At 37.8% G+C, this 13,859-nt stretch overlaps 2 protein-coding genes across 17 annotated transcripts in view; both read left to right on the top strand.

The window, feature by feature from the left end:
- The window catches only part of TPD52-MRPS28 (TPD52-MRPS28 readthrough), a 252,848-nt gene that overhangs the window by 109,461 nt on the left and 129,528 nt on the right, over positions 1 to 13,859 (top strand). The window contains exons 3-4 of the mRNA NM_001387778.1: positions 8,674 to 8,822; positions 10,476 to 10,577. Of these exons, the coding sequence (NP_001374707.1) occupies positions 8,674 to 8,822; positions 10,476 to 10,577 (251 nt within the window). The remainder of the gene's footprint in view (positions 1 to 8,673; positions 8,823 to 10,475; positions 10,578 to 13,859) is intronic.
- Positions 1 to 13,859, top strand: part of TPD52 (tumor protein D52) — a 140,483-nt gene that overhangs the window by 109,461 nt on the left and 17,163 nt on the right. For 9 of the 16 annotated variants that reach the window (NR_105034.2, NR_105035.2, NR_105037.2 and 6 more), the window contains 2 exons: positions 8,674 to 8,822; positions 10,476 to 10,577. Coding sequence is in view for 9 of the 16 variants with exons in the window: in NM_001387779.1 (NP_001374708.1) it covers positions 8,674 to 8,822; positions 10,476 to 10,577 (251 nt within the window). In the remaining 7 variants the exon portion in view is untranslated. Of the gene's footprint in view, positions 1 to 8,673; positions 8,823 to 9,428; positions 9,499 to 10,475; positions 10,578 to 10,833; positions 10,853 to 11,632; positions 11,660 to 13,859 lie in introns of all 16 variants that reach the window. The other 7 variants (NR_105036.2, NM_001025253.3, NM_001287143.2 and 4 more) reach the window with 4 other exon arrangements.

Below are 13,859 nucleotides of genomic sequence, written 5' to 3'. Positions count from 1 at the left end.
AAGGTTCCTTGCAATTCCATATGAATTTCAGAATCTGCTTTTCCACCCACACAAAAATGCTGTTGGCATTTTGATAGGGCTCGCGTTCAGTTTATAGATTGACTTGGTGAGTATTGCCATCTTAACAATATTAAGTCTTCCAGTCCATGAACATGAAATGTCTTTCCATTTATTTAGTTCTTATTTTACTTTAGCAATGTACAAAACATTTTTCTATGTACGAGTCTTATACTTCCTTAGTTATATTTATTCCTAAGTGTTTTATTCTTGTTGATGTGATTGTAAATGGATTTTTTTTAAATTTTCTTTTCAGGTGGTTTATTGCTATTATGTAGAAACATAACTGAATATTATATCTTGATCTTATATTTTGCAGCTTTGTTGAATTTATGAGCTCAAATATATTTAAAAAAATTTTTTTGAGACAGGTATTGCTCTGTCACCCATGCTAGAGTGCAGTGATGTGATCATGGCTCGGGGCAGCCTTGACCTCCCAGCTCAAGTGATCCTCCTGCCTCAGCCTCCTGAGTAGCTAGGACTACAGGCGCTTGCCACCATCTGCCTGGTTAATTTTTTTATTTTTCAGTAGAGGTGGGGTCTTGCTATGTTTCTGGACTCAAGTGATCCTCCTGCCAAGGCCTCTCAAAGTGCTGGGATTACAGGCATAAGCCACCACAACCACTCTTGAATAGATTTTTTTGTGGATTCTTTTTTTTTTGGGGGGGGCGGTGGGGGGGAAGGTATGGAGTTTCACTCTTGTTGCCCAGGCTGGAATGCAATGGCATGATCTTGGCTCACTGCAACCTCCACCTCCCAGGTTCAAGCGATTGTCCTGCCTCAGCCTCCCGAGTAGCTGGGATTACACGAATGTGCCACTACGCCCGGCTAATTTTGTATTTTTAGTAGAGATGGGGTTTCTCCATATTGGTCAGCTGGTTGTGAACTCCCAACCTCAGGTGTTCTGCCTGCCTCGGCCTCCCAAAGTGCTGGGATTACAGGCATGAGCCACCGCACCTGGCCTTTTTTGTGGATTCTTTAGGATTTTCTATATATGAAATCATGTCATCTGTGATTAAACATCGTTTTACTTTTCCTTTCCAATTTGAATGCCTTTAATTTATTTTTCTTGTCTAACTGCTTTGGCTAAACTCTTCAGTACAATATTGTGTAAAAATGGTAAAAATGGGTATCCCTGTCTTTTTTTCTGATCTTATGGGGAAAGCTTTCAGTCTTTAACCATAAGTATGATATTAGCTGTCATTTTTTTCACAAATGCACTTGCGTTGAGGAAGTTCTCTTTTATTCCTAGTTTTAGTGGGTTTTTTTTTTCATGAAAGAGTATTGGATTTTTATGAAATGCTTTTTTTTTCACCTATTGAAATGATTGTGTTTTTCCCCTTTACTATATTAATGTGGTATATAACACTGGTTGATTTTCATGTGTTGAATCATCCTTGCATTCCTAGGATATATTCCACTTGGTCATGTTTTATAATCCTTTTAATATGCTGCTGGATATTCATAGGAGATATGGGCTGCTGTTTTCTTGTGATATCATTCTCTGGCTTTGGTAAATAGGGTAATGCTGGCTTCTTAGATGAGTTGGAAAGTGTTCTACCATCTTCTGGTTTTTTAGAAGAGTTTGAAAAGGTTTGTCCATTCTTTAAATGTTTGGTAGAATTAACCATTGAAGCTATCTACTTTTACACTTTTCTTTGGGAGATTTTTGATACTTGTTCAATCTCTTTACTTGTTCAGATTTCTTCTATTTTGTTGGGTCAGTTTAGTCATTTGTATATTTCTATGCATTTGTCCATTTACTCTAGACTATCTAGTATGTTGGTGTACAATTGCTCATAATATTCTTTTATAATCCTTTCTGTTTCTATAAGGTTAGTTAATGTCCCCACTTTCATTTGATTTTAGTTATTTATGCCTTCTCTCTCTTTTTTTTTTTTCGGTCAGTCTAGCTATAGGTTTGTCAATTTCACTCATCTTTTTCTTTTCTTTTTTTTTTTTGAGATGGAGTCTTGCTCTGTCACCCAGGTGGCTGGAGTGCAGTGGCAGCAGTCTTGGCACACTGCAGCCTCTGCCTCCAGGGTTCAAGCAATTCTTGTACCTCAGCCTCCCTGGTAGCTGGGACTACAGGCGTGCACCACCACGCCTGACTAATTTTTGTATTTTTAGTAGAGACGAGGTTTCACCATGTTGGCCAGGCTGGTCTTGAACTTCTTTTTTTTTGTTTGTTTTGAGATGGAGCCTCACTCCGTTGCCCAGGCTGGAGTGCAATGGTGCGATCTCGTCTCACTGCAACCTCTGCCTCCCAGGTTCAAGCGATTCTCCTGCCTCAGCCTCCTGAATAGCTGGGATTACAGGCACGTGCCACCACTCCCAGCTAATTTTTGTATTTTTGGTAGAGACGGGGTTTCAGTGTGTTGGCATGACTGGTCTCCAACTCCTCACCTCAGGTGATCTGCCCGCCTTGGCCTCCCAAAGTGCTGGGATTACAGGCGTGAGCCACTGCGCCTGGCTGTCTTTTTCTTTTTTTTAACCCTTAATGCACTGTTGATCTTTTTAAAGAATGAATTATTGCTTTTATTCATTCTCTCTATTGTTTCCTCTTGTCCATTTTATCTTTACTCTAATATCTAATCTCTTCCTTATTCCCTTCCTTCTCTTAGCTTTGGGTGTAGTTTTCTATTTTTTAAATTTTTCTCTAATTCCTTAAGGTGTAGAGTTAGGTTATTGAGATTTTTTTTAATGTAGGCATTTATAACTATACATTTCTTACTGACAGTTCTTCAACTGCATCCCAAAAGTTTTAATACACTGTTTTTGTTTTCCTTCATTTCAAGGTGTTTTCTAATTTCCTTTGTGACTTCTTTTTTGGCCCATTGGTTGTTTAAAAGTGTGTGGTTTGATTATTACATAGTTGTGAATTTTCTGGTTTTCCTCTTGTTTTTGATTTCCAGTTTCATGGTGGTGGTTGGAAAAGGTGCTTTGTATGACTTTAAGTTTATTGAGACTTGTTTTGTTGCCTAACGTATACTCTGTCCTGGAGAATGTTTCATGTGCATTTGAGAACAGTGTATTTCTACTAATTTGGGGTGAGCTGTTCTGTACATATATGTGTTAGGTCCAGTTGATGTATGGTATTGTTCAAGTCGTCTCTATGATCTTCTGTCTGTTTGTACTACTCATTTTTTCGCCCAAAGTTTTATAAACAAGGTGGGGATAGAATGGGTAAGGCAGATGGGTGATAAACCATTTGTGTGGTTGTTTTTTTGTTTTGTTTTGTTTTTTGAGACAGAGTTTCACTCTGTTGTTGCCCAGGCTGGAGTGTGGTGGCATAATCTTGACTCACTGCAACCTCTGCCTCCCAGGTTCAAGCGATTCTCCTGCCTCAGCCTCCTGAGTAGCTGGGACTACAGGCGTGTGCCACCATGCCCAGCTAATTTCTGTATTTTTAGCAGAGATGGGGTTTTGTCATGTAGGCCAGGCTGGTCTTGAACTCCTGAACTCAGGTGATCCACCTGCCTTGGCCTCCCAAAGTCCTGGGATTACAGGCATGGGCCACCATGCCCAGCCATATATTTTTATATTTGTAGAGGGCATTAGAATACAGATAACCTTTTCCCACTTAACTGATTTTCAAAAACATTTTTATGCCAATATACTCTTGTGCAACCTCATTTTAAATTGCTGCGTAGTCCATTTTGAATTTCCGCAAGCTCATTTTTAATTTATATTATTTATAAACATTTGGATTGTTTCCATTTTTTGCTATTATGAATAATAGTTTGATGAAAATACCTTCATGTAAGTTTTTATGCACTTCTTTAATTAGCGCTTTAGGATAAAGTCCTGGAAGTAGCATTATGCCTGGGTCTAATGGTTTTTAAGAGTATATAGCAACATGGCCAAAATGCTATCCAGCATATTTCTTACAGTGTTTTGAAAGAGCATTTTTTTTCAAATCCTTGACAGTTCTCAGTATTGTTTTATTATCAACAAAATAAAAATAATAGTAATAGCACCTAATGTCTATAGACTACATGCTGTGTGGGAGGCGTTAAACTGAGCTCTTTACATGCATTATTTCATTAATTATTACAACAGTCTTACGGGGCAGGTGCTATTATGATTGATGGAAGAGGAAACATAGTCTTTATTTAACAAATGAAGTTACCAGCTATATGATTTGTAAATATTTTCTCCCATTCTGTGGATTTTCCTTTTCATTTTCTTTATAGTCCCTTTTAAAACATTTTTAAACTTAAATTTTTTATTTAAAAAATTTTAGATTCAGGGGGTACATGTGCGGGTTTGTTACATGGTAATGCCTCATGATGTTGAGGTTTGGGCTTCTAATGATCCTGTTGCCCAAGTAGTGAACATGGTTTTTCAGCTCTTTCCCCCAACTCTCCCTCTCCACTTCTGGAATCCCCAGTGTTTAGTGTTCCCATCTTTGTGTCTGTGTATACCCAATGTTTAGCTCCCACTTATAAGTCAGAACATGTGGTATTTGGTTTTCCATTTTTGTGTTAATTTGATTAGGAAGATGGCCTCCAGCTGTATCCATGTTGCAGCAAAGGACATGATTTTGTACTTTTTAGGGGCTGCATAGTATTCCATGATGTATATGTACCACATTGGACAGTGGGCACCGGGGTTGGTTTCATGTCTTTGCTATTGTGAATAGTGATGCAATAAACATATGAGTGCAGGTGTTTTTTTGGTAGAACAATTTCTATACCCAGTAATGGGATTGCTGCCATTGAATGGTAGCTCTGTATTAAGTTCTTTGAGAAGTATCCAAATTGTGTTCCACAGTGGCTGAACTTTAGGACTGTTATGAATAATGCCGCTGTAAGCAATTGTGTACAGCTTTTTGTATGGATGTGTGTTTTCTTTTTATTGTTGCTTGTTTGTTTTTTGAGAAGAGTCTTGCTCTGTTGCCCAGGCTGGAGTGTAGTAGCATGATCTCAGCTCACTGCAACCTCTGCCTCCTAGGTTGAAGTGATTCTCCTGCCTCAGCCTCCTGAGTAGCTGGGATTATAGGCACACCACCACCATGCCTGGCTAATTTTTGTGTTTTAGTAGTATGGGGTTTCACCATGTTAGCCAGGCTGGTCTCAAACCCCTGACCTCAAGTGATCTGTCCACCTTGGCCTCCCAAAGTGCTGGGATTACAGCCGTGAGCCATTGCACCCAGCCTGGATGTGTTTTCAATTCTCTTTGTTATATATACCTAGGAGTGGAGTTGCTGGGTCATATGGTAGCTCTATGTTTAACTTTTTGAGGAGCTGTCAAACTGCTTTGCTGCCCAACTTCATTTTACATTCTCACCAGCTGTGTCTGAGGGTTCCAATTTCTCCACATCCTTGCCAACACTTATTAATCTCTGTTTTTTTTAATTGTAACCATCCTAATGGGTATGAAGTGGTATCTCCTTGTGGTTTTGATTTGCATTTCTCAAATTACTAATGAATGGTGTTAAGCATCTTTTCATGTGCTTATTGGTCATTTGTATATCTTGGGAGAAATGTCTATTTAAGTCCTTTGCCCATTTTCTAATTGGATTGTCTTTTTATTGAGTTGTAAGTTTCTTTATATGTTCTAGATACTAGACTCTTATTAGGTATGTAATTTGCCAATATTTTCCCCATTCTGTTGGTTGTCTTTTACTTTCATGACAGTGTCGTTTGAAGCACAACCTGTAGGCATCCTCCCTTTCCCAACCTCTAACACCCACAATTTTACTCTCTACTTAGATGGGTTCAGAGTTTTTTCTTGGCGTCCACATGTGAGTAAGAACATGCAGTATTTATCTTTCTGTGCCTGATTTATTCTGCTTAACGTATTGTTCTCTAGGCTCATCCATGTTGCTGCAAATTACAGGATTTCATTCTTTTTTATGGCAGAATTGTATTCCATTGTGTATACCACATTTTCTTTATCCATTCACCTGTTGATGGACACTTGGGTATTGTAAATAGTGCTGCAATAAACGTGGGGGTGTAGGTACCCTTTGATACACTGATTTCCTTTCCTTTGGATAAGTAACCCAGTAGTGGGATTGCTGGATTATGTGGTATTTCTATTTTAAGTTTTTCTGAGAAACCTCCATACTGTTTTTCATAGTGGCTGTACTAATTTATATTCCCAGCAACAGTGTATAAGAGTTTCATCTTCTCTGGATCCTTGCCAGCATCTGTTATTTTTTGGTTTTTTGATAACAGGCATAATAACAGGTGTGAGGTGATACCTCATTTTGATTTTGATTTGCATTTCCCTGATGATTAGTGATGTTGAGCATTTTTAATATATTTGTTGGCCATTTATATGTCTCTTCTGAGAAATGTCTATTTAGATCCTTTGCCCACTTTTTAAATGGGATTGCTTGTTTGTTTTGTTGTTGAATTGAGTTCCTTGTATATTTTGGATATTAGTCCCTTGTCAGATGAATAGTTTGCAAATGTTCTCTCCCATTCTACAGGTTATCTCTTCACTCTGTTGATGATTTCCTTGAATTTAGTCCCATTTGTCTATTTTTGTTTTTGTTGCCTGTGTTTCTGAGGTCTTAGCCATAAAATCTTTGTCTAGACCAATGCCCTGAAGTGTTTCTCCTATGTTTTCTTCTAGTAGTTTTATGGTTTTGGGTCCTTAGTCCATTTTGAGTTGATCTTTGTATATAGTGATAGACACATCAGAGATTCTTAATCATGCTCTTTATGCTTTTAAAGTCACTCTGTTTTACATGTATATATTGAATTAAGGAATCGCAGCCATGATGTGCTGGGCTAGGTGTGTTAGCAGCACAAGCTAACCAACAAAGGTGGGGAATATACTGTGTTGTGCATTGTTCAGAAAGATTTAGAGTGGTTTGTCTTTGCAGCTTTCATTAGAGGAAGTGAGTACCTCAGAGAAGTGCTAAGGGGTGGGAAACTTACCATTTAAGTCTATTCTTAGAAGTGTCTGAAGCTTTGGAGCCTGAAGTAGAGACAGAGGAAGTGGGAAGCTTAAGAGAGTGTACATGAGAATTCAGCCAGTAAACTGAGACGTGCATTCAGAAAACCTAGATAGGAATTCTGGTTCCTACATTATTTGTTTGATGACTTTGGGCAAATCATTTAATTTACTTAATTTTGAACCTTATTCTTTCCTCTTTTTTTGTCCTTTTCTTCTCGTATTCCACTTCGTCAATGTACATCTTAAAATGTGACTTACAAAACTGGGTCCAGTACTTGTGACTCTGACAAGCACAGGGGATTATTTATTTGTTCTGAGGGACCTCTGTTCCAGTTAATCTTATCTGAGAGTGGTGTTGTAGGTTCTTTTTCTTCTTTTTTTTTTTTTCTTGGCAGCTGCATCACATTTGATTTATCCTTTTCTCCGTTGCACTAATTTTCTTTGTTTTGTGTTCTCTAAAGACTTAAACATCTGTGAAAACATTTGACTGAGCAATACTCTATGTTATTTTTAAAGGGCATGTTGTCTTTGAAATCATAGAAATACCGTGCAGGTTGGGGCTGAAAATATGGCTTTGCAACAAGCCAGGAGACGCATTTCTCTGAGGGTCTTGAATGTTAATGGATATACTTTAGGGACCTAGATTTTCAATTTCCTGGGACCTAAAGTCTCTTCCACATGGTGTCTATTTCTCTCTGAAATAGGCAGTCCACCCTTTTCCCTGTTTCTGAAATAGAGAGTCTACCATTTTCCCTGTTTTCCTGGATTAGCCTTTTGTTCTACTCTGTCCATTTTTTCCTTTTCTTCATAGCTTCTGCTTACAGTTTTAGATTCCTCAAGCATATTTAAGCTTTCCATACCTCTCATAATCTCACTGTAGCCTACCTATACCTCAAGGCTTCTTCAAGTTTTTTCAGCTTCTACTTGCAATGTCATCTCACTTCTCAAACTAGATTCCTGAGTGAGAGAGACGAATAGTTGAGCACCTCTTTTCACACTGGGCTCATCCACTGGCTCTTGATGGGTGGCTGTCCATGGGTCAGGGCCCACCTCTAACCACCTAGTCAAGTCTGGGCAGTCAGCATCAAGGGGTTCACATGAAACCCTTGAGAGCAGGGATCTCCTGAGGAGGCGGTTTGATTTATTATGGCCATGACTTTGCCAGACACAGGGACTGAGTATATGTATCCAGTATATATACTCATATCAAATATGCAAGGAGATTGGATTTGGGTTTGGCTTGGTTGTGTGTGTTTTGGTAGGGGATGGAGATTATTTTGATTTAGTATACAAATACAAGTTTTGTAGGCATTCAGATAGAAATGTCTAGGCTGGGAAGGCAGACCCACAGGTCGGGAGAGTGGATGTTAGAGTGCTTTATTAAGTATTATCTGTGTAGAAATTTGAGTCCTAAACCTACATGAGATAGCTGAGTAAGGAAGTATAGGGAGAGAGGAGAAGGCCAAAAACAGCTTAAGATGGGATTATAAAGAGCTCCCATGGAGGAGGAAAGAGAACTCTACAGGAGAGATCAGCAAGTAACCAGTTTACTCAACAACATTATACATTGTTTTTAGAGAGAAAGATAAATGATTCAAAAAAATGTTTAATGACTGGAATTTTGGATGTAGTTCTGTGGTAATAATCTTAACTTACTGAATGACTTTTGCTATATTCTTACCCCAAACCCCTTCCTCATAGGTAGAAGAAGAAATCCAGACTCTGTCTCAAGTGTTAGCAGCAAAAGAGAAGCATCTAGCAGAGATCAAGCGGAAACTTGGAATCAATTCTCTACAGGAACTAAAACAGAACATTGCCAAAGGGTGGCAAGACGTGACAGCAACATCTGCGTATGTTTCCTTGATCATACACTTTCCTTGGGAGTGTAAAGGACACTGTTGTGCCTTTTGTCTGGAGAGGGGAAGAAAAAGAGGATAAGGATGCTTCAGCAGCTTTTCTTTGGACGACACGGCACCCTTTTTTTCTGATTTTCAAGTGTGCCTGCCTTTTTTTGTAACTTCAATTTTTCCAGACCACTTATTCTAAGGAATAGAAAGAAAGCTAGCCAGTTGGAGAAATAAAATTCAAATCCCATAAGTGTTATGTATTGACTTGCCACAAATATGTACATTTTGTCCTTTAGTACTCAGAATAACCCAGTAAGAATGGGTGGCAAGATAACCCTGGATAAGGAAACAGGCTCAGACAAATTAAGTTTTCATGTCACAAACCTCTCAAAATGTGGAGTGGGAATTCAAACTCAGGTCTGGAGCCAGTCTTTATTATTATTATTAATGTATTTTTTTAACCTTGTTGTGTAGGTATCAAAAGATTCTCAGGTCGTAGTCTCAGATATATGCTCTTGGCAGAGGTCAATCCCTTAGGCTTTTTGTCTTTTTGACCACACATGCTATGATATAGCATTATCATAATGCAGTTTTGTTTCCCGGCACAAGGAGGAGCAAGCTTCTAGCAGCAGAAACCGAACTGCTCTGTCTTCTGTATTGAGAGCCATCTGCAGAGCTGGTGAGCACAGAAGTTGTTTTACAATTTAACTATCAGAAGTGAGGCCAACTGCATTTAACATGACAGTACTTGAGTCCCCAGTCTTTTGGTCCATTTTCTACCCATCTAAGTTGGCAGTGGGAAAACATACAGGAAACTATTTTTTCAACAGTATTACCATGAACCATGTTTTTTTATTGGTATTTGATCTTGACAGGGTAAGTAAAAATGCCTGAGCATTCTTTCCCATAATGTGGGAATTGTTTTGGTAGGTACGATATTATTTTGTTTTTTGTTGTTGTTGTTGTCATCATTTTTTTGTTTTTGCTTTTCTCTTCTCTAATCTCCAGGTAGCTGGGAAGGAGGTGGTAAATTATAGCTTTGCGTGATAGCAGATACCACACTAGAATAATTTTAAGCATTGCATATTTTACATACTTTGTTGAAAGTCCATCATGTCCGTATTTGGTAGCTCTCTAAAGACATGCAAAAATTTTTAGAAAGTATGCCCATAAAATGTATTTGGATAATAAAATACAAATGGGTCCTACTTACGCCAGCTACTAATTGCTTCTGGCCCTTTTTTAGGAAATCAAGTTGACAAAGGCATCTGAGGAATTTGATTTCATTTTTGTTTTGTTTGGATTATGTGAGAAAAGAACAATAGGTATGAGTTCTTTCAGGCCTTTGCTTATTTTCATCTTGGTTTGATGATTATTTTTAGCCCTTACCTTGACTTCTTTGGCCCTGCCTTTATAGGACTCTGTCTTTCTGGCTGGACTAGGGCACTGCAGAAGATTGTGCCTGAGCTTAGGGTTGAGCATACGAAGATGTGGTGATGCCGCTCTGCTGGTTATGAAGGATTTTAGAAGTTCTGAAAAATGTTTTCTCTTTTTGAGAGTTCTCCAGCAGGTGGTGACCACTGCACTTGAAACAATTGATATTAGAAAAGATGAGCTGACCCTTCTTTTGCTCTGTGTGTTTATAATTTAATATAGTTACAAGAAGACATCTGAAACCTTATCCCAGGCTGGACAGAAGGCCTCAGCTGCTTTTTCGTCTGTTGGCTCAGTCATCACCAAAAAGCTGGAAGATGTAAAGTATGTCCTCATTTTTCCTTGCTCATTAAGTAGCTGACGCAAATTAAAATGTTATTGTTGTTGCATCTGTTTCCTGACCTTGGCTCTAGTTGATGCTAGCTACTCCTGTTAGAGTGAGGGAGGGCACTCCTTCAAACCAGTACCTGGAAGGCTCATCTAAGGTCTTCTAGGCCTAGCATTCTAACATCAAATGATCATCTGATGATCATTTAAGGTTGTTGAAAAATTCTGGTTGTGAACTTCTTTGTCTTTTTAGTTCTTCATGATCATGCAGGGTAAGTATGTCTTTGGTTGCAAATTTGTGATTGTGGGCAGAGCCTGGTGTGTTACTAAGGATGACTACAGGAGCACTGAAGTGCACGCTTCGATTCAGATTTGGCTTCACGTTCTATATGTGACATTTTATATCATGGTGTGATTACAACATGCTCATTTGTGCACTGTTTTATTCTAACTGGTAAGCTGTAACTATGTTCATGCTTAGGCCAAAATCTTGATTTTGAGTTGTTGCTTTTTTTTTTTTTCATTTAGATTAGTCTGCAGAGTTTTCCTTGCCATTTTTATAAAACCACTTCACAGTGCTTTTGTGCCCCCCCTTCACTCATGTGGATTAGGATAGTGATGAAAATGACAAATGTGGTTTAAGTCAGCTGTGCTTCTGTTGGCATGCAAGATTTGTGTTTAAAAAAAAATGCTCAGATTGCATGGCTTCGTGTTTTGCATTTGTGGGGAAAGTGTATATCTTACAACCAGAATTTCTTGGTTGAATAGATTTGGTCAATTTATGTGTTATACTTTACACCAAAAGAACAAATTCCTCGCTCATTATATTTAGACTGTCATTGTCTAAGCATAATGTAATAAATATAGCTTTCTTGAACTCTTTTGACAATTATGTATGTATCTATTAGGTGTTCATTTTCTCTATGCTGACTGAATTGTGTAGCAGTTTAGAGCCCAGGGAAAACATTATATGTTTAAAACTTAGGTTATTTAATTGTTTTAGATTTATCAGAACTTCTTTCTTTTTTAATGCTTACTCTGGCTTCTTACAGATTGCAAGCCTTTTCACATTCCTTTAGGTAAGGAGAGTTTGAACCATCACTGCAGTCCAGCAGTTGTATAAGAAAAGTGTGCTGAGATTAGATTACCATGCTACGTTGGATGATCGTGTTTGTCCAGTACATAATTTTCTTGCGTTTAGAGTATCTTTTTCTCTAGTGCATTCCTAATTTCAAGGGAGGGTTTCTTGTATACCATGGGTAGTTGATAAATTAAAAGAAGTATTTGACACTGTGGTTCAAGGGATATGGAAATGATTTTGACATTTCTTTTTTACTTTTTTCTTTGGTAAAAAGAAGCAGCTTTACCATGGCATGCAAAATTCCTCCCTTTTAATGTCTGACTTTGTTTGTTTTGATGCTTTTGTTTCTTTGGTACTTTTGTAAGGATGTTGGAATTCTTCACCTGGGTTTCATTACACAATTGTAACAGACTGCATATGTACTGCCTCCTGATGTTAGTCTTCCATCTTCTATTGGTTACTCTACCTTTTTTTTTGTTGTTGTGGTAAAATATACATAAGGTAAAATCTGCCACTACTCTGCACTTTTTAATACTTGTTTTACTAGCTTATAGTTTTTATGATTTTATTCTTTCTTTACACTTGTTATATTCTTTATGTACACAAGGCAACTTCATGGTTTGAAAAAGGGAAAAGAATATTAAGCTAAAAAAAGCACATTAAAAAGATGTTAGCTCAAACCATGCCTTATAGAAAGAGACTTTGTGATGTTGAGGAAACCTTTCTCTTTCCCAGGCAGACTCTTTGATTATCTGATTAGTTGTTGGAGGAAACTAAGGTGGAGGAAAGTCTTTAGAGTATAAGCAGGAAGGATGATATAGTAGTCTTCATCTCTGTTCCTATGGATGCAGATTATTTTCTTAAGCAATCACTCATGGTAGTCTAGCTGCTTGCCTTTTTAAGTAAGCAAACAGGTACTTAAAGCTCCTATCTTGGTGACACTTACCCCTGGAAGTCAGAGTAAATTATAGGGATATATAAACTCTAAATGTTGAACTATTTAAAGCTAAAATTATGCTTAAAAAATCAAGTAACCAATGATAGGTGATTGTGTATCGTTGGCATTCAGTTAAAAAGTGCTATAAGTAACTGAATACAGAGCCAGTCACATCACCCATTCTGCTAACATTTAGAGTGTCTACTGTGGACAGGTTCCATGGGCATAACCATAAAGAACGCATGGCTTTTATTAGAATGAAGCTTAAAATCTTAGAGTGGAGTAGGGGAAGAGTGGGGACTTGGGATAAGTTAAGAATGGAAGAGCCTTATCAGTACTGGTTATAAAATGTTCGATGTGATGCAAACATCAGTGTAAGATATAAAAGTAAGGGCTATTGAGGATGATGTTTCTTCAGTACATATCACTAGACTTTTCTATACCTTTAAAGAATACCTTTCTATACCTTAAAGCCATACCTAGATATGGCTCAGTGTGTGCTGTCTTATTAATTCATCAGCAACAAATTATGTTTTGCAACTGTTTTCTAGCTCCTTTCACAGTCACTTTGTCCATTTTGTTTAAAAAATATAATTAAGATTATGCTGTACCATTTTCAGTCTTGTTTTTAATAAATATTAAGTTTTTATGAATATTTAATTGCCCATCAGTATGTAGGGGTTAAAGTAAGGTTTTTGATTAAAATTTGGAAATGAAAGAAATGAGATTATCTTTTGAAAGTTAAACTTTGTAATTCTTGCAAATCACAGGTTAGGTAAAGGCATTTAAAAAAATAATTTCAAGGCCAAGAAGTCCTGATTGTGTTCTGATTTAATGTGTTGACACATATAAAGAAAACCTACATCTTTTAGATTATGTGAGTCACAGAGGCAAATATTGGCCACGTTCCCTCAAGAACTACCCAAGGAAAGGGAGCTTAGGCTGTAGATTTGAGTGTTACAATTCCAGCAATAAGTCCTTTTCTCCCATGGAGGTGGATACAGTAGGCTCCTTTTGCTAAGTGCTATGAAGTAGGTGGTTAGTCCTTAATCCCACTCACTGTTTGTTCTAGGTCCATTTTACCTGGCAAACTTATGCCGGTGATTTTACTCCTTAATGTAATTATGGATATAGAAGGAGAAAATGCAGCAGTTTTGCCAACCTGAATGTGTTAGACTCAGCAACAGTTTTTATTTTACATAGTCAGTTGATAAATCAGCACTTGGGATTTAGATATTTGCCTTATGCCTTGATTGAGGGG

The sequence above is a fragment of the Homo sapiens genome, chromosome 8 (assembly GCF_000001405.40).
Source record: "Homo sapiens chromosome 8, GRCh38.p14 Primary Assembly".
NCBI lineage: Eukaryota > Metazoa > Chordata > Mammalia > Primates > Hominidae > Homo > Homo sapiens.
The sequence above is the reverse complement of the archived record's forward strand: the minus strand, read 5'-3'. Positions and strand labels throughout refer to the sequence as shown.